This window comes from Homo sapiens, chromosome 17 (genome assembly GCF_000001405.40).
Source record: "Homo sapiens chromosome 17, GRCh38.p14 Primary Assembly".
In the NCBI taxonomy this organism is placed as follows: domain Eukaryota; kingdom Metazoa; phylum Chordata; class Mammalia; order Primates; family Hominidae; genus Homo; species Homo sapiens.
This window is the reverse complement of record NC_000017.11, coordinates 2,720,448-2,745,567: the sequence shown is the minus strand read 5'-3', so window position 1 is coordinate 2,745,567 and position 25,120 is coordinate 2,720,448. Positions and strand designations below refer to the sequence as shown.

The 25,120-nt window shown below is 52.9% G+C and overlaps 1 protein-coding gene across 5 annotated transcripts in view; it reads left to right on the top strand.

The window, feature by feature from the left end:
* The window catches only part of CCDC92B (coiled-coil domain containing 92B), a 28,852-nt gene extending 4,085 nt beyond the window's left edge, over positions 1-24,767 (top strand). Inside the window, exons 2-5 of one of the 5 annotated variants that reach the window (XR_002957942.2) lie at positions 10,400-10,552; positions 15,075-15,122; positions 20,568-21,883; positions 23,330-24,767. Coding sequence is in view for 2 of the 5 variants with exons in the window: in NM_001355573.2 (NP_001342502.1) it covers positions 10,423-10,552; positions 15,075-15,122; positions 20,568-21,157 (768 nt within the window). In the remaining 3 variants the exon portion in view is untranslated. Of the gene's footprint in view, positions 1-10,399; positions 10,553-15,074; positions 15,123-18,065; positions 18,378-20,567 lie in introns of those variants that run through there. The other 4 variants (XR_002957941.2, XR_002957940.2, NM_001355573.2 and 1 more) reach the window with 4 other exon arrangements.
* The last annotated feature ends 353 nt before the right edge of the window (positions 24,768-25,120 follow it).

Here is a 25,120-nt window from a genome sequence, read left to right as displayed (position 1 = left end):
CAAACTAAACAATAACGTCTAAGAAAGAATATTTGCCAAGATCGTTTGTGACCCAAATTTCCTCCCTGAGAAAAGCAGCCTGCCTAGTTGGAAGCAAATACTCAAGTCGTTCTGGGAAAGCACAGAAACAGCTGGTTGGCTCAGTCTCTCACGGTGGCCAGGGTCCAGTCTCCAGAGCTGTGTGGGAAGGGTTTTTACTCTTCAGAAACATTTGCATTTCAGTGGCTGGGAACAGACGTTTCTCTCTTTATCCTAAGAACAGGCCCACACACCTTCATCCTCCAGATGTGCGCACAGCAGACACACAGCAGCAAAGAGAATCGGGAAACACACACACGTACTCCTTGAGGCACACACGCAGGCTCAGGCACACATACAGATACGCAAGCACACAAACCCTGACATAGACTCACAGTCAGCAGCTCACCTGTTTCTCTTGAGTTATGCACCAGTGTATTATTATGTTTTTATTTTATCTTTTTTTTTTTTTTTTTTTTTTTTGAGACAGGGTCTCACTGTCTGTCACCCAAGCTGGAATGCAGTGGTGCAATCATGGCTCACTGAAGCCTCAAACTCCCGGGCTCAAGTAATCCTCCCACCTCAGCCTCCACGCTGGGACCACAGGCACACGCCACCACGCCCAGCTAATTTTTGTATCTTTAGTAGAGACGGGGTTTCAGGGTTTCACCATGTTTTCCAGGCTGGTCTCAAACTCCTGGGCACACACGATCTGTTCACCTCTGTCTCCCAAAGTTCTGGGATTATAGGCATGAGCCACTGAGCCTGGTTGCACCAGTATATTGACCTGCCTACTTGACATCTATTTCTCCTTGTTTGAGGTCTCTTGGGTATATCACCCCTAACACATGGCATCTTGATCTTACCTTGTGTCAATCTGCTTCTCCATCAGTCTACCCCATCCCCACAACTTCACCCACTCTAAAGATGTTTACTGAGTACTTCCTGTTTGCCACATACTGTGCTAGGTACTAAGGAAAAGGAGGAACCAAAGCAATGTCCTTCATCTCAGTTGCTAACAATCTGGCAGGAGAAACAGACAATAAACAAAAACCGGGGGCTGGAAGCAGGAGGTCATGCCTGTAATCCCAGCACTTTTGAGATGCCAAAGCCGGAAGACTGCTTGAGACCAGGAGTTCGAGGTCAGCCTGGGCAACCTAGTGAGACTCTGGTCTCTACAAAAACAAAAATAAAAATAAAAATAAAAAAAATTTAGGCCGGGTGCAGCGCAGTGGCTCACGCCTGTAATCCCAGCACTTTTGAGATGCCAAAGCTAGAAGATTGCTGGAGACTAGAAGTTCGAGGTCAGCCTGGGCAACACAGTGAAACTCTTGTCTCTACAAAATAAAAAATGAAAAAAAAAAATTTAGGCCGGGTGCAGCGCCGTGGCTCACACCTGTAATCCCAGCACTTTGGGAGGCTGAGGTGGTTGGATCACGAGGTCGGGAGTTTGAGACCAGCCTGGCCAACATGGTGAAACCCCATCTCTGCTAAAAATACAAAAATTAGCTGGGCATGGTGGTGCACACCTGCAATCCCAGCTACTCGGGAGGCTGCGGCAGGAGATTTGCTCGAACCCGGGAGGTGGAGGTTGCGGTGAGCTGAGATCGCGCCATTGCACTCCAACCTGGGCAACAGAGCCAGACTCCATCTCAAAAAAATAAAAAAAAATACATAAAAATAAAAAGTTAATATATTCATGTGGTAATACATTCACGGAAGAAAAAATAATGCAGATTAAGGGAATGCAGAGTAACAAAAGCTTCTATTTTAAATTGGGTGATGAGAGCAAGTCCCTGAGGAGCTGACATTTGGAGAGTCCTGAATGAAGGAGGGGAATAGGCCTTGAGGAGATCTTGGTGAAGGGCATTCCTGGCAGAGGGGACAGCATGTACAAAGTCCCCGAGGCAAGAGTGTGCTGGGCACATTCAGGAAGAAGCAAGGTCGGAGTGGCTGGGGTGGAACCAGCAGGATGAGGACAGAGGGAGCCAGGGAAGACTGTGCAAGGGCTCATAAGAACTTTGGGTTTGTTTTAAATGTGATGGAAAGCCACACAGAGGATTTTGAGTGGGGTTTGGGGAGACATGATCAGACTTATATTTGTTTTTGTTATTGTTTTGAGACGGAGTCTCGCTCTGTCACCCAGGCTGGAGTGCAGCAGTGAGATCTCGGCTCACTGCAACCTCTGCCTCCCGGGTTCAAGAGATTCTCCTGCCTCAGCCTCCCAAGTAGCTGGGACTACAGGCATGTGCCACTATGCCCGGCTAATTTTTTGTATTTTTCTTAGAGACAGGGTTTCACCATGTTGGCCAGGCTGGTCTCGAACTCCTGACCTTGGGTGATCCTCCCGCCTCGGCCTCCCAAAGTGCTGGGATGACAGGCGTGAGCCACCGTGCCTGACCCGACTTATATTTGTTAAAGGAATTCTGGCTCCTGCATGGAAAACAAGGGGCAAGAATGGAAGTGAGATGACAGTCAGGAGCCTACTGCAATGGTACACCAGAAGGATGTTTTTGGCTTGGACTTGGGTGATGACGATGGAGATAGTGAGAAGTGACTGGCTTTGGGATATGTTTTTTGAAGGTAGAGCAAACAGGATTTGCAGATGGATTGACTATGGAATATAAAGAAAGAGAGGAATCAAACATGACTCCCAAGTTTTGGCCTGAGCAACAGAATGAGTGGGCAAACAGCAATGTGGTTTATCAAGATGGCGAACAGTGGTCAAGACCTGGTTTGCAGAAGGGAATGCAAGTTCAGTATTGGGACTTGAAAGTTTGAGGGATATCCTCACTGAATATCCAAATGGAGGTGTTAGGTCATCAGTCTAGCAGCCAGGGAAGAGTTATTTTGGCGGTCAATAGCATATAAATAGTATTTACAGCCATGGGATGGGACAAGAACACCCAGGGAGTGATTATAGATAAAGAAGAGATTCATGGTGAAAGAGGATGAAATGGGGAAAGATCTAGCAAATATGCCTTCATTCTTGGGTTGCTTAAGCTGGAAAACTGGAGATATCTTAGCCATCCCCCTCCCTATCATCATGAATTAATCCAATCCATCTCCAAGTCCTGCCAGTCCTACCACTAAAATACACCTAGGACCACTCTCCGCCTTCACCTCCATCATCTCATCCAGGCCACCATCACCTGGCACCTTGACCACTGCTTTATTCTTCCAGCTGACCTCCCCACATCCACTCTGTTGGCTCTAGATTGCTCTCCCCACAGCCGCCAGAGTGATACTTTAAAAATGCAAAGGATAGCCTGGGCAACATAGTGAGACCCCATCTCTACAAAAGTGAAAAATTAGCCGGGCACGGGGGCACGAGCCTGTGGTCCCAGCTCCTTGGGAGGCTGAGGTAGAGTCTCAGCATGAACCTGGGAGTTGGAGGCTGCAATGAGCCATCATTACACCACTGCATTCCAGCCTGGGTGACAGAGTGAGATCCCGTCTCAAAAAAAATAAAAAATGCAAATCATATCATGTTCTTCCACTGCTTAAAATCCTTTAAGAACTTCCAAATTTACTTAATATTAAATGTTCTTTTTTTTTTTTTTTGAGATGGAGTCTTGCTCTGTCGCCCAAGCTGGAGTGCAGTGGCGTGATCTCGGCTCACTGCAACCTCCGCGTCCTGGTTTCAAGAGATTCTCCTGGCCGGGCGCGGTGGCTCACGCCTGTGATCCCAGTACTTTGGGAGGCTGAGGCAGGCGGATCACGAGGTCAAGAGATTGAGACCATCCTGGCTAACACGGTGAAACTCCATCTCTACTAAAAATACAAAAAATTAGCCAGGCGCGGTCGTGGGCCCCTGTAGTCCCAGCTACTCGGGAGGCTGAGGCAGGAGAATGAGGCGAACCCGGGAGGCAGAGCTTGCAGTGAGCCGAGATCACACCACTGCACTCCAGCCTGGGCGACAGAGCGAGACTCCATCTCAAAAAAAAAAAAAAAGAGATTCTCCTGCCTCGGCCTCCCAAGTAGCTAGGACTACAGGTGGACACCTCAACGCCTGGGTAGTTTTTGTATTTTTAGTAGAGACACAGGATTTTGCCATGTTGGCCAGGCTGGTCTCGATCTCCTGACCTCAGGTGATCTGCCCGCCTTGGCCTTCCAAAGTGCTGGGATTACAGGCGTGAGACCCCGCACCCAGCCCAAAAGTTCTTAACATGGTTTTCAAGACGCCATGTGAACCTACTCTTGCTAACCTTCCTTCCTGCGACCCTCCTTCAGTACCTTTCACCTCAGCCCTTACTAGCAGCGGCAATGTCTGTTTCTCAGACAGACCACGTGAAGCACTTAGCAGAAAGTTTGAGACATAGTAAGCGTTCTGTAAATGTAAGCTATCATTGTGATCACTTACTTCTTTCCTACCTCTGTGCCTTCACAGATGCTGTTCCCTGTTGGAGGTGCTCTTCCCTTCATTCTTCTAAGTCCTACCCCTCCTTCAAGTCTGTATTAGTTTTTTATCGCTGTGTAACAAATTATCATAAACATAGTGGCTTAAAACAACATACATTTATTATCTTACAATGTCTAAGCCCAGGAGTCTGGCTCTTTTTTTTTTTTTTTTTTTTTTTTTTTGAGACAGGGTCTTTGTCTGTCACCAGGACTGAAGTGCAATGGCACAATCATGGCTCACCGCAGACTTGACCTCCTGGGCCCAAGCCATCTTCCCACCTCAGCCTCCCAGTAGCTGGGACTACAGGCCCATGCCACCATGCCTGGCTAATTTTTGTATTTTTGTAGAGACGAGGTTTCATCATGTTGCCCAAAGTGGTGAGATTACAGGTGTGAGCCACTGCGTCTGGCCTTAGTCTACCATTTTTAAACTAGGTCCTCTGCTCGGGGCTCTTATTTTTTTGTTTTTTGTTTTGTTTGTTTTTTGAGATGGAGTCTCACTCAGTCGCCCAGGCTTGAGTGCAGTAGCACGATGTCGGCTCACTGCAACCTCCGCCTCCTGGGTTCAAGTGATTCTCCTGCTTCAGCCTCCTGAGTAGCTGGGATTACAGGCGCCTGTCACCATGCCCAGCTAATTTTTGTATTTTTAGTAGAGACAGTATTTCACCCATGTTGGCCAGGCTGGTCTCGATCTCTTGACCTCAAGTGATCAGCCTGCCTCAGCCTCCCAAAGTGCTGAGATTACAGGCATAAACCACCGTGCCCAGCCTCAGGGTTTTGCCTAATTAGGTCAGGCCCACCCAGAATAATCTCCATTTGATTAAATCAAAGTCAACTGATTGGAGGCCTTAATTACATCTGCAGGATCCCTTTACCTTTGTGTATAGCCTAATCACAGGGGTGAAATCCATCATACGCGCAGGCCCACCCACACTCGAGCAGAGCAGCTGCATACCAGAGGCTGGGAATCTTGGGGACCGTCCTGGAACTCTGCCTGTCACAAGGCAGAAAGTTACAGCCTAAAAGTTACTTCCCCAAAGAGAACTTTCCTCACCTCAAATCTAAAGCAGGTTCCCCTCTTTATTCTTTCACATTACCTTGTAGGTCTCTTTAGTGGCCCTTATCACAGATTGTAATTCTATCCTTATTTGTATTATCTGTTTGACACATTATGTGTTTGATTCTCTTCTCTTCACCCCGTGAGATCCATGAGAGCAGGGACTTCACTGTGTTCGTTACCGTGTTCCCCAAACCCAGGACAGTGCTTGGCAATAGTAGATCACTAAATGAGTGAATGAGAAAGTGAGCAAATCAAGACAGGAATTAACCTACTCAGACATTAAATGGACAGAGAAGAAGAGGAAGAAGGGAGGTAGCATTGACTGAGCTACGTCCTGTGCTAAGCACTTTACATTTCTTTATTCTATCTATCTATCTATCACCTATCTATCTATCTATCTATTTTTTTGAGACGAGTCTTGCTCTGTAGCCCAGGCTGGAGTGCAGTGGCGCAATCTTGGCTCACTGCAAGCTCCACCTCCCGGGTTCACGCCGTTCTCCTGCCTCAGCCTCCTCAGTAGCTGGGACTACAGGCACCCGCCACCACGCCCAGCTAATTTTTTTTGTATTTTTAGTAGAGACAGGGTTTCACTGTGTTAGCCAGGATGGTCTTGATCTCCTGACCTCCTGATCTGCCTGCCTCTGCCTCCCAAAGTGCTGGGATTACAGGCATGAGCCACCGCGCCCAGCCTGTTTGTTTATTTTTATTTTATTTATTTATTTTGAGATGGAGTCTCGCTCTGTCGCCAGGCTGGAGTGCAATGGCGCGATCTCAGCTCACTGCAACCTCTGACTCCCTGGTTCAAACAATTCTCCTGCCTCAGCCTCCCGAGTAGCTGGGACTACAGGCGCCCGCCACCACACCCAGCTAATTTTTTGTATTTTTAGTAGAGATGGGGTTCTACCATGTTAGCCAGGATGGTCTCGATCTCCTGACCTCGTGATCCGCCCACCTTGGCCTCCCAAAGTGCTGGGATTACAGGCGTGAGCCATTGCGCCCGCCCTATTTATTTATTTTTGAGACAGAGTCTTGCTCTATTGCCCAGGCTGGAGTGCAGTGGCTCGATCTCAGCTCACTGCAACTTCTGCCCCCTGGGTTCAAGCGATTCTCCTGGGTCAACCTCCCGAGTAGCTGGGACTTCAGGTGCATGCCACCATGCCCGGCTGATTTTTGTATTTTTAGTACAGACAGGGTTTCACCATATTGGTCAGCCTGGTCTCAAACTCCTGACCTCAGGTGATCCACCCGCCTCAGCCTCCCAAAGTGCTGGGATTACAGGCGTGAGCCACTGTGCCAGGCCTTACATTTCTTTTTTCTTTTTTTTTTTTTTGAGACGAGTCTTGCTCTGTCACCCAGGCTGGAGTGCAGTGGCGCGATCTCAGCTCACTGCAAGCTCCGCCTCCCGGGTTCAGCCATTCTCCTGCCTCGGCCTCTCCGAGTAGCTGGGACTACAGGCGCCCGCCACCACACCCGGCTAATTTTTTATATTTTTAGTAGAGACGGGGTTTCACCGTGGTCTCGATCTCCCGACCTCGTGATCCGCCCGCCTCGGCCTCCCAAAGTGCTGGGATTACAAGCGTGAGCCACTGCGCCCAGCCCAGGCCTTACATTTCTTATCTCATTTAATCCTTACAACTATCCTAGGATGGTAGGATTTGCAGCCCCATCTTACAGGGGGAAGGAAAATGGCTCAGAGAGGTTAATTTTCTTGCCAAAAGTCTCACAGCAGGTAACTGAAAGAGCCATAAATCAGCTGGATCCAGCAGCTCATGCCTGTAATCCCAGCACTTTGGGAGACCAAGGTGGGAGGATTGCTTGAGGCCAGGAGGTGGACACCAGCCTGGGTGTAGAGAACCCTGTCTCTACAAAAAATTTTAAAAATTAGCCAGGCATGGTGGCAGTCACTTGTAGACCTTAGCTACTTGGGAGGCTGAGGTGGAAGGATTGCTTGAGCCCAGGAGTTTGAGGCTGCAGTGAGCTACCATTGCCCCACTGCACTCCAGCCTGGGTGACAGATTCAAACCTAGGACTGTTCCCAGTGTAAATATTCGTGTAAATATTGGGAACCTTCTCTGGATTCGTAAGACTTGGTTGGAGAATTGGCTCTGCCACCCCTTACTGAGCGTGTGAAGCGGTACGAGAGCCCTTTTTTGTGAAGTGGGGTGGGGTGGTAATACCCGCTGAAGAGTGGTTGGCAGAAGTAAGATCATGTGTATAATGTTCCCTGAACATAGCAGATGGTCAGCACATGTAGCCAGCGATCCCCACAGGCCAAAGGGCCACCCCTTGCTGAAATTAAAGGCCTATTTGGATGGCTGGACGCGGTGGCTCACGCCCGTAATACCAGCACTTTGGGAGGCCGAGGCGGGTGGATCACGTGGTCAGGAGATCGAGACCATCCTGGCTAACATGGTGAAACCCCCATCTCTACTAAAAATACAAAAATAAAATTAGCCGGGCGTGGTGGTGGGCGCCTGTAGTCCCAGCTACTCGGGAGGCTGAGGCAGAATGGCGTGAACTTGGGAGGCGGAGCTTGCAGTGAGCCGAGATCGTGCCACTGCACTCCAGCCTGGGTGACAGAGCAAGACTCCGTCTCAAAAAAAAAAAAAAAAAAAAAAAAAAAGAAAGGCCTATTTGGTTGGATTAGGGGGGTCAGGGGAGTACCAGAGAAAGGGGCCCAGAGAGAGGAGTGCCCTGAGGATTGGAGTTCTCAGGGGGACCTGCTCGATGTAACCCCACAAATGAAAATCTGGATTTTTCTGAGTCTTACATGTAAGCTAGTCTGGAAGGGACCATTTGGTGAACAGAATTACTCATCTTACTGGCCTGTCTCTCCCACTGCCCAGGACATTCCAGGGGCAGGTGAAGGCAGGTTCCTCCAAAGCTTAGGGAGTCCTTGGCTGAGAAAGCAGGAGCTCTAAGTCCTGGGCTCCAGTGTTCGCGGTCTGCCTCTGCTTGTCCAAGATGCTGATTATCACAGAACAGAGTCATGGGGAAGGGGGCGGAGCCAGAAGCAGCAGAGCTGGAAAGCCAGGCCATCATTAGGATTCAGGGATGCATGGCTCTCATCCATCACTGCAACTCAAAGTTCTGCCATGGGAGTCACTGCATGAGTCTCTCTTCCCCTCTCCTATTTCTCTTTTTTATTGTATTTATTTATATGTATGTATGTATTTTATTTATTTATTTATTTATTTATTTATTTTTTGAGACAGAGTCTCACTCTGTTGCCCAGGCTGCAGTACAGTGGTGCAATGTTGGCTCATTGGAGCTTCCACCTCCCGGGTTCAAGCAATCCTTGTGCCTCAGCCTCCCGAGTAGCTGAGATTACAGGCACCTGCCCCACCACGCCCAGCTAATTTTTTGTATTTTTAGTAGAGATGGGGTTTCACCACGTCGGCCAGGCTGGTCTCGAACTGACCTCAAGTGATCCGCCGACCTTGGCCTCCAAAAGTGCTGGGATTACAGGCGTGAACCACCGAGTCCGGCCTATGGATATATATTTTTAGAGACGAGATCTCACTTTGTTACCCAGGCTGGTCTCAAACTCCTGGACTCACGCAGTCTTCCCACGTCAGCCTCTCAGAGTGCTGGGATTACAGGAGTGAGCCACCACGGCTGGCCTATTTCTTTAATTTAATTTAATTTAATTTATTTATTTAGAGACAGAGTCTCACCCTGTCGCCCAGGCTGGGGTGCAGTGGCATGGTCTCAGTTCACTGCAACCTCCGCCTCCCGGGTTCAAGCCATTCTCCTGCCTCAGCCTTCTGAGTAGCTGGGATTACAAGCACGTGCCACCAAGCCTGGCTAATTTTTGTATTTTGAGTAGAGACGGGGTTTCACCATGTTGGAAAGGCTGGTCTTGAACTCCTGACCTTGTGATCCTCCCACCTCAAGCTCCCAAAGTGCTGGGATTACTGTGTGAGCCACCGCGCCCGGCCCGCCTTTCTCTTTTACAAAGGGACTCCACCACCTGCCTTCAGCCCAGAGTCAGTGTTAGTGAAACATTCACCAGATCTTCCTCCTCTGCCACTTGGAGGAGCCTGGAGCCCTGGACTGTGGTGAAGTTGAAGTGGAGTTGAACTAAGGGAGAATAATATTCAGAACAGCCATGTAGCCCTTGGGCTGAGATACTTGCAGGGTGTCAGAACTGGAAGAGACTCTAGGGCTCACTCACTCCACATCTCCCTCATTTTACCCCTGAGAAACTTGAGAGCCCACAGAGGGAAAGGGCTCACCCAGGTCACACTGCTAGGGCGGGAGGAGCAGGCTAGAACCCAGGTTCTCTGTCTCTCTACTGACTTTGCCACTCCATTTGTTTTCCTGTTTGAGAAGTAGAAGAGGCTAAAGTTATATGGGCCTGGGCACAGTGGTTCACACCTGTCATCCTGGCACTCTGGGAGGCCAAGGCGGATGGATCTCCTGAGGTTAGGAGTTCAAGACCAGCCTGGCCAACATGGTGAAACCCTGTCTCTACTAAAAATACAAAAATTAGCCGGGCATGGTGGCAGCTGCCTGTAATCCCAGCTACTCAGGAGGCTGAGGAAGGAGAATTGCTTGAACCCAGGAGGTGGAGGTTGCAGTGAGCCAAGATCGTGCCACTGCACTCCAGTCTGTGCAACAGAGCAAGACTCCATCTCAAAAAAAAGAAAAAAAGTTACATGGGAACAGGAGAAGGAAGCCATTGCCCTCTGGGCCTCTGGTTCTCCATGTGTTAAATGAGAGTAATGATGCTTTCCTGCCAACTCCCCTGCTTCTTCATGAAGCCTGAATGAAGGAATAGTGTGGAGGTGACAGCAGTGGCAGAATCATCTTCCTGGTGGCAACAGGACCTAGAGCGGAGGAGACAGTGAAAGAGCTGAGGGTGGGGCAGCGCAGATGGGCTCAGAAGAGGTGGGTTCACCTTGTCGTCCTCCCTAGGTGGGGCCCAGGCCTGGGTTGCCATGGATACCGTGTCCCTGGAGCATCAGATCCAGAGCGTGCAACGCCACATCAGCTTCCTGAAAAAGGAGCAGATGGCCCTGCTGCGAGACCTGCACCTGGAGATCCTGAGGCTGCAGAAACGCTGCTCAGGTGAGGCCAGGAGAGGCGGCTGGACGGGTGGGGAGAGGTCACTGTCATCATCACAACCACTGTCTCTGGGTTGTGCCCACCAACAGCCCCCGTGAGCCTCACACTGCACCGATTCTGCTGCCTCTTTTTCTGATTAAGGAAACTGGGACTTGGGGAGGTGAGATGGACAGAGAAGTTGGAAAAGTTCTAGAAACATCTGAAAGTTTCACAGCAAAGAGCTCTGGTTAGGGCTGGGCGCGGTGGCTCACACCTGTAATCCCAGCACTTTGGGAGGCCGAGGCGGGCGGATCACGAGGTCAGGAGATCAAGACCATCCTGGACAACATGGTGAAACCCCATCTCTACTAAAATACAAAAAATTAGCTGGTTACGGTGGTGGGCGCTTGTAGTCCCAGCTACTTGGGAGGCTGAGGCAGAGGAATCGCTTGAACCCAGGAGGTGGAGGTTGCAGTGAGCTGAGATCACGCCACTGCACTCCAGCCTAGATGACAGAGCAAGACTCTGTCTCAAAAAAAAAAAAAGCTCTGGTTAGGGAGTGGAGGACTCCTAGGATCCAAATCCTGGAGGTTCCCATCCTTTCCGAGTCACTCTTCACCAAGCAACTCCCAGCCCTCGGTCTAGCTAGGGAGACACACAGGCCAACTGGTGGTATTAAGGTAGAGCAGAAATCAAGCAGGACCTCATGGGCAGGAGCATGTCCAGCTTGAGGAGCAGGTGCTGAAGGAGGAGGCCCAGCCTCCGAGGCTCCCCAGAGGAGGGGGTGCTTCAACTCCCTGGAGGCTGCGTAACATGTGGACATGCCAAGATATCACAGGAGAAAGGGGAGTGAAGAGAGTATTCCAGATGAAGGGAACAGCACGGCAAAGGTCGAAAGGTGGGAAGCCAAAAGCTCATGGAAGGTTCTAGTTGATGGATAAAGCATCACTTAAAGGAGACAGATAAGAAATCCAGCTGGAGGCCAGGCACGGTGGCTCACACCTGTAATCCCAGCACTTTGGGAGGCCGAGGTGGGTGGATCACCTGAGGTCAGGAGTTCAAGACCAGCCTGGCCAACGTGGCGAAACCCCGTCTCTACTAAAAATACAAAAAATTAGCCAGGCGTGGTGGTGCACGCCTGTAATCCCAGCTACTCGGAAGGCTGAGGCAGGAGAATCGCTTGAACCTGGGAGGCAGAGGTTGTGGTGAGCCAAGATGGTTGCCATTGTACTCCATCCTGGGCAACAAGAGTGAAACTCTGTCTCAAAAAAAAAAAAAAAAAAAAAAAAAAAAAAGCCAGTGGTCCTGATTCAGCCATCACAGCTTCCTAAGGCTCCACAGACAGGGTCAGCCGCCACATTCTAATCTCCCCTGAAGATTGGACGGGAGCAGAGGCCAGCCTGGGGGACAAGAATGGCCCAAGTATCTCAGCCCTGCCTGATGCCACCTTTTCATTGCAATAACAAAATTATGAGAAGAGGAGCTGGGCACGGTGGCTCACGCCTGTAATCCCAGCACTTTGGGAGGCTGAGGCGGGCGGATCACCTGAGGTCGGGAGTTCGAGACCAGCCTGACCAACATGGAGAAACCCCGTCTCTACTAAAAATACAAAATTAGCCGGACGTGGTGGCACATGCCTGTAATCCCAGCTATTAGGGAGGCTGAGGCAGGAGAATCGCTTGAACCTGGGAGGCGGAGGTTGCGGTGAGCCGAGATCATGCCATTGCACTCCAGCCTGGGCAACAAGAGTGAAACTCCGTCTCAAAAAAAAAAAAAAAAGAGAAGAGGAAACCCTAAGACACCATAGCAGCTCCTGTCATTTCTTTCTGTTTTGCCCTAATTCTGAGAACTTGTGGCTCTTTTTAGGACACGGGCCAGATCCCAAAATGTGGAGCAGGCAGGAACAGAGCGCCCTCACCCACGCCATGCTTCTCAGATGGGTATGGGCCTGAAACCCCTTGGTTTTTTTTTTTACTAGTTATTTATTTATTTATTTATTTATTTATTTTTATTTATTTATTTATTTTGAGACAGGGTCTTGCTCTGTCGCCCAGGCTGGAGTGCAGTGGCGTGATCTCGGCTCACTGCAAGCTCCGCCTCCCAGGTTCACACCATTCTCCTGCCTCAGCCTCCCGAGTAGCTGGGACTACAGGCGCCTGCCAACACGCCCGGCTAATTTTTTGTATTTTTAGTAGAGACGGGGTTTCACCGTGTTAGCCAGGATGGTCTCGATCTCCTGACCTCGTGATCCGCCCACCTCGGCCTCCCAAAGTGCTGAGATTACAGGCGTGAGCCACCGTGCCTGGCCTTTTTTTTAATTTTTACAACAGAGTCTTGCTCTGTTGCCCTGGCTGGAGTACAGTGGCACGATCTCAGCTCACTGAAACCTCTGCCTCCCGGGTTCAAGCAATTCTCCTGCCTCAGCCTCCGAAGTAGCTGGGATTACAGGTGCCCGCCACCATGCCTGGCTAATTTTTGTATTTTTAGTAGAGATGGGGTTTCACCACGTTGGCCAGGCTGGTCTCAAACTCCTGACCTCAGATGATCTGCCCACCGTGGCCTCCCAAAGTGCTGGCTTTACAGGCATGAGCTACCACGCCCAGCCACCTCTAGGTTATTAAGGAGATGAAAATAACTAGGCTAGGCTAGAGCAGCCACTCTTGGGGCTGAAATGACTGAATAAGGCCTTTCCCCCAAGGAGGAGGTGATGAGAAGGGAGAAGATAAGGGGAAGGAGATTAAAGAGGGACCCAGAGCTGGGAGGCGGTTGGGAGAGAGGAGAGGCTGGTGTAGGAGCTGAAGGGATAGGCTGCCCAGGGAGCTGGCTAAGGATGGGTGAGGACTCAGAATGAAGGGCTTGAGAGGTGGGTACGTTCTGGGGTGGCGAAGCAGCCTGATTGATAAGAACTGCTCACACGCGTTCAGCACCAACTCAGCCCTGGGCCAAGCCCGCTGTTTTTTTCTCATTTAATCCTGGCGACAGCCTCTTGGAAAGGTGCTATTGTGCCCCCATTTTCCAGACGAGAAAACTGAGGCTCAGAGAAGTGCTGTTACTGGCCCAAGGTCACACAGCGTATCTGACCTCACAGCACGCTCATCTATAGCCCAGCTGAGATTTTTATCTCCCTACCCCCAAGTCCTGTGTTGAAAGGCTGAAGAGAAACCACCCACAGGGAGTTAATGGCGGAGCCAAGGTATCCCTGCTCCCAAATCCCTGAACCTAGGCCAAGGTCCCTGGGCTACATCACAAGGCCTTGAAGGAGGGGCCAGTTGGTCCCAGGAAGCCCTGGAGGTAGAAGCATCAGAGTCCTCACAGGTGCCTCAGGGAACAGGTTCAGACTCTGGTAACAGCAGAAGGCTCAGGCACCCTGAGCTGCCTGCCTCCAAGCAACAACCGGCCTCCTCAGAGAAGGCACCTCTGGCAAAGCCCTGGGTCTCTGGAAGAGCCGGTGAGGGCAGTGAGGAGGAGGGGCAGAGGGGTCACAAGGCCCCTGAAGGCGCTGCTGGGTGGTGGTCCCAGAGATGTGCCGCCTTCCTTCCCCAACCCCCGGTTCACACCTCCTCCCCGTGGACACCAGACTGTGTCCCTGCAGGTGTACACAGGTGCCCCCGAGTCGGTCTGCATCACAGGCAGCTGTGGCTTCTGGCTTCCTTCTGCCCTTGTACCAGTTCTTGAGCCCTGGTGGAGTTGGGGGAGTGGGGGTGGGGCTGGAAAAATTATCAAACTCACCTGGGCTGAGAAATGGGGCTTGGGGGACACTAAGGAATGGAGACTGGGGGGACAGGCAGGCAGAGGGGTGGCAGCTGGGCTGCAGCACCCAGGAGGAAACTGCTCCTGCACCAGTGCCCTTGAGTGGCTCCTAGGCTGCCCGCTCCACCCCCTCAGTGCCAAGCCCGGCCCCCATCAATAGACCGCACCGTCCTGCTCGAAGCCCTTCTCCCTGCCGTGGGGAATACGGCGCAACTGGGGCTTGGGAAGGGGCAGCGCTGATGTTCAGGTAATAACACAGGCTCAGCGGTACTGGCTGTCAAAATAGTGAAAAGCAAGTGTCCAGACTGGTAAGTAGCCACTGCCGAGCCTGCCTCCAGTGCCGCCAGGCAGTTCTGGACACTCCAGCGGCCATCAGCTAAACACGAAAGGGTCAAAGCCCTGCACGGCAAGGGTCCTCCAGAACTGCTTTGACTGGCTGGCATATCACCCCAGGAAAGGCAGATAGTCCCCCAGCCCCAAAACAAGCCAGGCTCCTCAGTCCCACGAGGGGTGAACTAAACTCCGAACCCAGGCTCAAAGCTGGAGCTGGGAAGATTTCTGAGCTTGGAGTCAAGCTGGCCAGGTTCAGGCTGTGCCCTGGACACATCTCTTCATCTCTTTCCCTTGCAGGGTTGCGGTAAAATAGTGTGGAGGTGGCTTCTAAAGATCCTTATTGCCACTTTACTGAGCTGTAATTCCATGATCTCTCTCTCTCTCTCTCTCTCTCACACACACACACACACACACACACACACACACACACACACAAACTGCCTTTTCTTTTCTTTCCCCCCAGAACTGACCCATGACCTGGAAATGAGAGAGGCCCAATCTCACCAGCAAGGTAAGAGAAGGACCACTGGTGGGGAAGCGTCATGGGGCCCAACAGCTGGAGTTTTTCCCAGCCCTTTGCAGGACCCAAACCTTCTCTGTCCCCAGCCTAGACTTGGGGATAGTCACTCCTTGGCTGGTGAGCAGAGTGCAGGATGTCAGCCACACTTGCCCAGTGGACGACATTGTGAAATGCCTTGTGCAGTGAACAACCTGCACCACCTCAGTTGGGTGACCTTGTGCAGTGAACAACCTGCACCACCTCAGTTGGATGACCTTGTGCAGTGAACAACCTGCACCACCACACATAGTAGCCTGTATCCATGTCTCTGTCCAAAGTGAGGAAAGTAAGGCATGAAGGAAATGGTAATGTGGCTTTACTTCCCCTTAGCCTGCTTAATTCCTTGCTGTGACCCACCTCCCCAGTCCTTCCCATCCTGGCACAAGTGATCACATGGTCAGTGTCAAGATTCACTGAACTGAGTGATCACAGGCCGAGTGTCAAGATGCATGTCAGGATGGGTTCCTTGACTTCAAGGAACTTGTTCTATACGAGAAAAGAAACACACACACATTAGTAAATCCTGCATTTTACAAAAGCATGACTTCTTGCCATTGTAGAAATTCCTCTAAAATATTTGTTTACTTCACCCATAACATGGGGGAGCTGGGGGAGTTCAATGGGTGTAGACTTTTACTTTTGCAAGATTAAAAAGTTCTAAAGATCTGCTGCACCCCAACATGAATATACTTAACAGTAATGAATGGTACTCCTACAAATGGTTAAGATGCTAAATTTTGTCATTTTTTCCCCCACAATTAATTTTTTAATTGCATTCTTGAGATCTTTATCATCAGATTATAAGATCTCAGAACTAGGACTGAGTGTTACCCATTGTCTCTGAAGTATAACGCACGTTACCTGACTTGGAGGGACACAGTAATTTTTTTTTTTTTTTTTTTTGAGACGGAGTCTCGCTCTTGTCGCCCAGGCTGGAGTGCAGTGGCACGATCTCGGCTCACTGCAACCTCCACCTCCCGTGTTCAAGTGATTCTCCTGCTGCAGCCTCCCAAGTAGCTGAGACAACAGGCGCACACCACCATCCACCGGCTAATTTTTTGTATTTCTTAGTAGAGACAGGGTTTCACCATGTTGGCCAGGCTGGTCTCAAACTCTTGACCTCAGGTGATCCACCCGCCTCAGCCTTGCAAAGTGCTGGAAGTACAGGTGTGAGCCACCGAGTCTGGCCAGGACATAGTAACTATTTAATTAAAAATGAATCACAAGGCCAGGTGTGGTGGCTCACGCCTGTAATCCCAAGACTTTAGGAAACCAAGGCAGGAGAATCACTTGAGCCCAGGAGTTCAAGACCAGCCTGGACAAAATAGTAAGACTCTGTCCCTACCATTTTTTTTTAATATTAAAAAAATGTTAAAAGGAATCATAAAAAGTCTTTCTTGGCCAGAAGAGTTCTTAAGAACAGACTCTCTTCCATACTGATGTATTGCTTATAGATCAAATGCTACAGGCTGGAAGTTTAAGCTATGATGTTAGGAACCCTAGAAACTGCTTTGTGTATTCATGCATGAAGATCAGTTACAGACCATCTAAACACTTACGAACTTGGACTAATCCTGCCCTCTTTAGAGGACAACCACAGGCAACCTCTTGGTGCCTAGGTGGCTGGAGGAAGGCAGCACATGCCCCAGACACTAGATTAGGACAGTTCTGTGACACAGCCACTTTCACCCCACTTACTGTCCTTTATCTGAAAGGGCTTTTGAGATCACCTGGGCCCAAGCCACTGCCCCAATCCAATGTCTTCATCTTTTTGTTTTTTTTGTTTTTTTTTTTTGAGACGGAGTCTCGCTCTGTCGCCCAGGCTGGAGTGCAGTGGTGCGGTCTCGGCTCACTGCAAGCTCTGCCTCCCGGGTTCACGCCATTCTGCCTCAGTCTCCCGTGTAGCTGGGACTACAGGCGCCCGCCACCACGCCCGGCTCATTTTTTGTATTTTTAGTAGAGACGGGTTTCACCGTGTTAGCCAGGATGGTCTAGATCTCCTGACCTCGTGATCCACCCACCTCGGCCTCCCAAAGTGCTGGGATTACAGGCATGAGCCACCGCGTCTGGCCTTTTTTTTTTTTTTGAGACATACTCTGTCACCCAGGCTGGAGTGCCATGGCACCATCTCTGCTCACTGCAACCTCTGCCTCCTAGGTGGGTTCAAGAGATCCTTCCACCTCAACCTCGAGATTAGCTGGTACTACAGATACATGCCACCATGCCCAGCTTTTTTGTAGAGAGGGGTTTCGCCATGTCACCCAGGCTGGTTTTGAACTCCTGAGCTTAAGCAATTTGCCCCCCTCAGCCTCCCAAAGTGCTGGGATTACAGGCACGACCACTGTGCCTGGCTCTTTCAATGGGCTTTGAGAACTCTTTCTTTTTTTAGAGACAGGATCTTGCTCTGTTGTCCAGGCTGTAGTGTGCAGTAGCAGAATCATAGCTCACTGCAGCTTTGTACTCCTGGGCTCAAGAGATCCTCCCACCTCAGCCCTCCCCTGAGTCACTGGGATGAGTGTGTCAACCCACTGGGCTTAAGAACTTTCTTTGTCCTCTTTCGTTTTTTTTTTTTTTGAGACGGAGTCTCACTCTGGCGCCCAGGCTGGAGTGCAGTGGCGCGATCTCAGCTCACTGCAACCTCCGCCTCCCAGGGTCAAGCAATTCTCCTACTTCAGCCTCCCAAGTAGCTGGGATCACAGGCGCACACCACCATACCCAGCTAATTTTTGTATTTTTAGTAGAGACGGGGTTTCGCCATGCTGGCCAGGCTGGTCTCGAACTCCTGACCTTGTGATCCGCCCACCTTGGCCTCCCAAAGTGCTGGGATTACAGGCGTGAGCCACTGCACCCAGCCCTCTTTGTCCTCTTATCACTTGGTGATTTTCATCCTTCCAGGGTCACTCTTTGCCACTTTCGGCTGCCTACGTCCCTACACTCACCTGTGCCAAGTCCTAGGATATGGTCCTGCCGAGATGGAGCTTCCAGGAGGCAGGGGTCCTCAACTCACGCTGCACGTGAGAACCACCGGGGAAGATTTAAGCAACACCAGTTCCCAGGTCCAGCTCCAGGGATGCTGGTGCAATTGGTCTTTCATAGCGCCCAGGAAACAGCACTGGTTAAAGCTCTCTGGGTGGTTCTAATGTCTATCCAGGGTTGAAACCTGCTGCAGTGGCAAAGGCCAACAATAAACAAGTAAACAAAAAATGACAAACATGTGGCCAGGCACGGTGACTCCCACCTATAATCCCAGCACTTTATGAGGCTGAGGCAGGAGGATTGCCTGAACCCACAAGTTCGAGACCAGCCCAGGCAACATGGCAAAACCTCATCTCTACAAAAAATGTGCATGCCTGTGGTCCCAACTCCTGGGAAGGCTGAGGTGGGAGAATTACTCAAGCCCAGGTGATAGAGGCTGCAGTGAGCTATGCCGCTGCACTCCAGCCTGGCAAGAGGGAGACTTTGTCTCAAAAAAAAAAAAAAAAAAGGGCTGGGCGTGGTGGCTCACGCCTGTAATCCCAGCACTCTGGGAGTCCGAGGCGGGTGGATCACAAGGTCAGGAGTTTGAGACCAGCCAGGCCAATATGGTGAAACCTCATCTGTAAAAATACAAAAATAAATTAGCTGGGTGTGGTAGCGGGTGCCTGTAATCCCAGCTACTCCGGAGGCTGAGGCAGGAGAATCGCTTGAACCCAGGAGGCAGAGGGTGCAGTGAACCGAGATCATGCCACTGCACTCCAGCCTGGGTGACAGAGTGAGACTCTGCCTCAACAACAACAAAAGAGGCCAGGTGCAGTGGCTCACGCCTGTAATCCCAGCACTTTGGGAGGCTGAGGCGGGAGGATGACCTGAGGTCAGGAGTTCAAGACCATTCTGGCCAACATGGTGAAACCCCGTCTCTACTAAAAATACAAAAATTAGCCGGGCGCGGTGGCTCATGCCTGTAATCCCAGCACTTTGGGAGGCTGAGGCAGGCGGATCACGAGGTCAGGAGATCGAAACCATCCTGGCTAACATGGTGAAACCCTGTCTCTACTAAAAATACAAAAAAAAAAATAAGCCAGGCATGGTGGCGGGCGCCTGTAGTCCCAGCTACTCAGGAGGCTGAGGCAGGAGAATGGCTTGAACCCGGGAGGTGGAGCTTGCAGTGAGCCAAGATTGCGCCACTGCACTCCAACCTGGGCGAGAGAGCAAGACTCCATCTCAAAAAAAAAAAAATATATATATATATACAAAAATTAGCTGGGTGTGGTGGTGTGCACCTGTAATCCCAGCTACTTGGGAGGCTGAGGCACGAGAACTGCTTGAACCCGTAAGGCTAAGGTTGCAGTGAGCCGAGATTGCACCACTTGCACTCCAGCCTGGCGACAGAGCAAGACTCTATCTCAAAAAAAAAAAAAAAAAAAAAAAAAGACGTGATAAAATGCCCTATGGAGGAAACAAGGACACTGACTCCCTTCCTGTGCACACTGGCAGCTCTTTCAGTCCCTTGCTCTCTGGACTTTTACACAAGCTGTTCCCTCCATCTGCAGCATCCTTCTCTCCTGTCTTCACTACTTAACTCCTGTTTATCCTTCAGATCTTAGCTCAAGTCTCTTCTGCTGGGAAGACTTCCCTGATGAGGTCACATTCTCCAGTTACAGTCACAGCATTGACTTTCCACATGTCACATTTGCAACCTCACACGTATTTGTGATTATTTACTATGTCTCTCCCACTATGCAATAAGCTTCACAGAGACCGTTTTATTATGCGCCCTATCTCCAATACCTAACACAATGCACAAAGTCAGGGCTCCACAAATTCTCTGTGGAATGAATAAAGGGCCAGGAAGGGGTTTGCACTTAAGCTGAAACCTGAAGAATTAGAGACCAAGCAGAGGGTAGAGTAGGTACGAGGGCGGAACAAGGAAGGCCACTGAGCCGACGCGTGGGGAAGGAGGGGGAGCGCGGTAGGACGTGCAGGTGGGGACGTGGGGAGGAGTGGGGCTTTGTTTTGTTTTTTTGTTTTTGCTTTTTGAGACGGAATCTCGTTGTGTCACCTAGGCTGGAGAGCAGTGGCGTGATCTCGGCTCACTGCAACCTCCGCCTCCCCGGTTCAAGCGAGTCCCCTGTCTCAGCCTCCCGAGTAGCTGGGATTACAGGCGCCCACCACCACCACCACCACGCCCGGCTAATTTTTGTATTTTTAGTAGAGACTGGGTTTCACCATGTTGGCCAGGCTGGTCTCGAACTCCTGACCTCAAGTCCATCTGCCCATCTCGGCCTCCCAAAGTGCTGGGATTGCAGAAATGAGGCCCCGCGCCCGGCCTGGGGGTTTTGTTACACGGAGCTCTGAGCCGTGCAGGTTCTGTTCCAAGCCAGGGGGAGACCGTCACCTCTGGCCTCTGCCCCGTTCCAGAGGCGGCGTCCCGGGAGCTGGAGAGCAAGTGCCGCGCGCTGGAGTCGCAGCTGGAGGCGCGTGCTGCGGCCAACGCGGAGCTGCGGCGGGAGGTGGCGCAGCGCGAGGCGCTGGTGTCCGCGCTGCGCTGCAGCCTGCGCACCGAGGAGCGCCGCTTCCTGGAGGAGCTGCGCCGCCGCAGCCACCGCGCCACCGTGCTGGGCACCGAGCTGCAGAAGCACACCGAGGCGGCCGCCTACCTCTCCTGCCAGCTGCACGCGGCGCGCCAGAGACTGCAGGCCCCGCGCCCGGGCCCCGGCGCCACCGCCGAGCCCAGGCCACGCCGCCGCGCACTGCGAGCCCGCCGCCCGCCTGCTGCCCACGAGGCCGCCGCCAAGGGCCCCGGCCGGGACTGGGCCGCCTGGGACCGCGGGGCCGGCGCCCTCGACGACGCCGACCCCATGCCCGACCCCGCGCTCTTCCTCTATGCACGCAGGCCGCTGCGGCCCAGCGCCCGCAGCCCGCGCCAGCCGCCTCCCCAGGAGCCCCCGGACCGAGCCGGCCCGCAGCCCGCGCCCAGCCAGCCCAGCGCGCCCGGGGACCCGGAGTAGGCGCCAGGCTGGCCGGGGTGACGCGGGACGGACGGGGAGGGCCGGCCAGGGACGCAGCTCGGTCCCCGCAGGCAGGTCCCGGGTCGGAGGGCAGCCGCCCCTCCTCCAGGAAGCGGGGCGAGGCGGCCCCGGCTCCCCCCAAATCCCCGAACCGCCAGCCTTTTGTACTTCCCGACGTTTCCAAAGCTTCGAGCCCTCTCCTCGCGCGAGAGTTCCTCCGCGGGGCCGAGCGGGGGCACCTTCTCTACCGAGAGGACTCGCCGTCCCGATCCTGGCCTGGTCCCACCTGCCTGTGAGACAGGAGGGGCGGGGGCCACGCCCTTCCCCGGGAAAGCCGACAATCCTTGGTGGGGTGGGGAGGGCTGGGCTCGCCTACGGAAAGGGACGCAGAGTGGCATTGGCGCCCCAGGCCCTCTAGCTCCCCACCCCCCGCCTCCCCCACCCCCGCGCCGACGCCCTTCCCGCCAAGCCTTCTTCCTCCCCAGGAGAGGCCCAGGCTAGGGGCTGGTCCTTCTACCCCCACCCTGACCCTGCCGATAGGTCCTTGCAGGTGAGCACGGAACACTTTAGAAGACACGTCCTCCCAGAGCCCCTGGTGGGAAAAGTGCGCCTGATGGAAGCCTAACTTCCATGGGCCCTGGGAGAGGATTACAGAACCGCCTGGTTGGCCGGACTTGGTCTAGAGCCGTCTCCAGCTCAGCTCTTCCCGAGTCGCCACCCCGCTGGGTATGCAGGGACTGGGAGCTCTGCTGGGGAAGGGAGGTGACAGGCCTGCTGCTGGCCAGGCTTCTGGAAGGCAGGAGCTGTCTTCCTTCTCAGGAGGCAGCCCCAGGCGTTTTCCTGGTCCTGTTTATTGGTGCTAATGTTGCTCGGCTTCCTAATCAGCTGGCTGCACCCAGAGACAAGAAGAAGAGAGCCTTGGCTGGGCGCGGTGGCTCACTCCTGTAATCCCAGCACTTTGGGAGGCCGAGGTGGGCGGATCACCTGAGGTCAGGAGTTCGAGACCAGCCTGGCCAACGTGGTGAAACCCCGTCTCTACTAAAAAATACAAAAATTAGCCGGGCGTGGTGGTGCACGCCTGTAATCCCAGCTACTCCGGAGGCTGAGGCAGGAGAATCGCTTGAACCTGGGAGGCAGAGGTTGCAGTGAGCCAAGATCGCGCCACTGCACTCCAGCCTGGGCAACAAGAGCAAAACTCCGTCTCAAAAACGAAAAAAAGAAGAAGGGCCTGGCTTCTTGGAAGTGGCAGCTACTGATAGGAGTTTGGGTTTGTGTTTGCTGGGGGGATGGTGGGAGCACAGGTTAGTCCCCATCCTGGCCCCCTCCACGGATGCCCCTAAACCTATCAGAATCTGGCAGTGGCGGGCTGCTCAGTTCCCTGCTGTCTAGCCTGGGGAATGGCGACGTGGAAAGGGGAAAGCCCCACCTCCTAACGCCCCTTCTCCCAAGCTCCCCGTCCACCACCAAAGGCAGGAAGGACAGTTTCAGCGCAGCTTATTCCCCCACCCCCAGCCCAGCCTAGAAGGAAACACAAACCCCTCCAGCCCGTGCCATCCCTCCTGTGTGGGTCCTGCATCAAGTCCTAAGTGCCTGTGAGGTCTTCCAGGGGCTTCGAGGGGAGGACGTGGGGCAGGGAGAGGCCTTTGCCTCCCTCACAGACACCCCTTTCCTGACAGGTCCTGACCCTGGCTGAGGCCACACATTCTGTCACGCAGGGGTCTGGGAGGTGAGCAGAGTCAAGCTCTAGGGGTGACGAGCTCTTCTCCCATCACAGCCCCATGAAGAAGGGGGAGTCCCAGATCACACCCCCTTTCTCTCCATTTGTTGGAGCAGGAAATTGGCAAGAAGTAGAAACCAGTGAGCGAGCGCACTCAGGGCCAAGCAATGTGCGGCTCTCCCAGCTGACGCCACTCGGGACTGCCCAAGACCACTGAGCAATAACCACGCCTGGTCTGGGGTGTCCAGCTCCTGGGATGCAGATGGCTGAGGTTGGGGCACCCTTGGGACAGTGCTCTCCAGTCCAACTTGGGCCAAGAAGGTGGCCTGGGGTCCTTGCTCTGCCTGCCCCCACCTCTACTCTCTACTAGTCCTGTGGTTGCGCCTGTACCATCTCTGTCCCCCCTCAAGTGTGTGTAACTCACTGCACCCCTATTCTGTCCCCCTCCCTTTCAGAACCTGTCTTGTGTGTGAGGGCCTCACTCCTCTCTCGGAGGTGCCCAGAGGACTGTGGGAAGAAGGGCAAAGTCTCTTTCCAGAGGAGCGTGCACAGACCCTCATCTCCCACGACCACACTTTTGGGGTGAACAGGGTGACTTTGTTAGGTCGATTCTTCTGCAGAGATGGTGAAGTACTCTATCTGCCCACCCACCCACTAAAAGCCATAGCTCCGTCCGCCTGGCCTCCCCCCAGCTCTATAGCAATAGCCCCCTTCCCCCTTCCCTCCTGGGCATCCAGGGTGTCCAGCTAGGGGCCCCCACCGCACTCTGGTCCCAGGGATCTTCCAGTGGCCTGCCTGCTTCTCCCGAAGTGACCCCATCAGCTCCACCCAACTCCCATCCCTCTTCCAGCAACCACAGATAATGACAATTGTTTGTGAGGTGCTTGGAGATCCCCTAGATGAAAGGTTCTGGGTGCTGGGGCAGCTGACTCACTGACTCTCAGCTGAGGTGCTGGAGGTGCCTGGGAAAGGAAATAAGGCAAGCTGGGGGAGCACCTGTAGCAGATACAGGGTTCCAGTTTTCACAGAAATTCCCCTCCTCGCCCTCCTGGAAATAATGGAAACCCCTCCACCCGCCTGCACAGAACCCTCTGTGCAGCAGAACGAGACTGGGAGCTGGAGTGCATGGCCCGCTCTTGGCCACAGGGGCCCAACTCTCCTCAGCCTCAGGGCCCTGGAGAGGCCCCACCCTCCCTGGGTCTGGCTTGAGAGCCCACCTGGCCAAAGGGAAACCTCGCACCCCCACGCGCTCCTGGCCCCTGGAATATCTTGGTGACTAAGAAGGGAAAGGACTGCATTTCTCTCTCCTCTGCTGCACGAATCCCCATTGGGAGAGAGAGTGTTGAAGAGGACACTCAGGTCCCTAGGCGGAGCTCCTGCCACACCCCAAGTATGGACAGCTCCAGGACACAGAGCTGCAGGTGGGGACCTCCCCCTGCTCTGGAAATCAGCCAGGGAGCACTGGGCAGTGCGGTTTGAGGCTCTGTACCCCTGGCCCCCACAGCTCAGCCACAGCACCCTCTAGCTTGGGGGACTAGTCCAGGGCCAAAATGGGATAACCCTTCCCCATATAAGCAGTAGGATGGCGTCCCCCCTGGTGGAGAGAGGAAGGAGGCCTAGAGGGTGTGGGGCAGCTTCGAAGCGCGGGGAGCCGGGGGTCTCCAAGCACCTTCTCCTGGACATGCCAGCCTTGAATGGGGGATGTGCAGGGCTTCAAACCCACCTGGCAGGAGCCCTGTGGCAGGGCAGAGGGACCCTGCTCCAAATTCTCTGTTGGCTGCGCTTTTGTATCCAATGCTTTTCAGAGTGTATTCACTCACCCACAGAAATAGAGCCCTGTGCTTTAGGGGTGACTGTCATATGCCTTATTCTTAATAAAATCTCTGAAAAACACGTGAGTCCAATCTCTTGCATTGGGCACTCGGCCCCACCACACCTCGGTTCTTGCAGGTGTGGGAAGAGCATGTGGATGAGCCAGGAGGTGGTTCAGGGTCAGCCAGGGGGTACGATGAGACCAGGAGCTGAGACTCTGGGGTCCCCTCAGTAGATAACCCCTCAGATGGGCCGGGCGTGGTGGCTCACGCCTGCCATTCCAGCACTTTGGGAGGCCGAGGTGGGCAGGTCACTTGAGGTCAGGAGTTCAAGGCCAGCCTAGCCAACATAGTGAAACCCCATCTCTATCTAAAAATACAAAAATTAGCCAGGCGTGGTGGCGCGTGCCTGTAATCCCAGCTACTCAGGAGGCT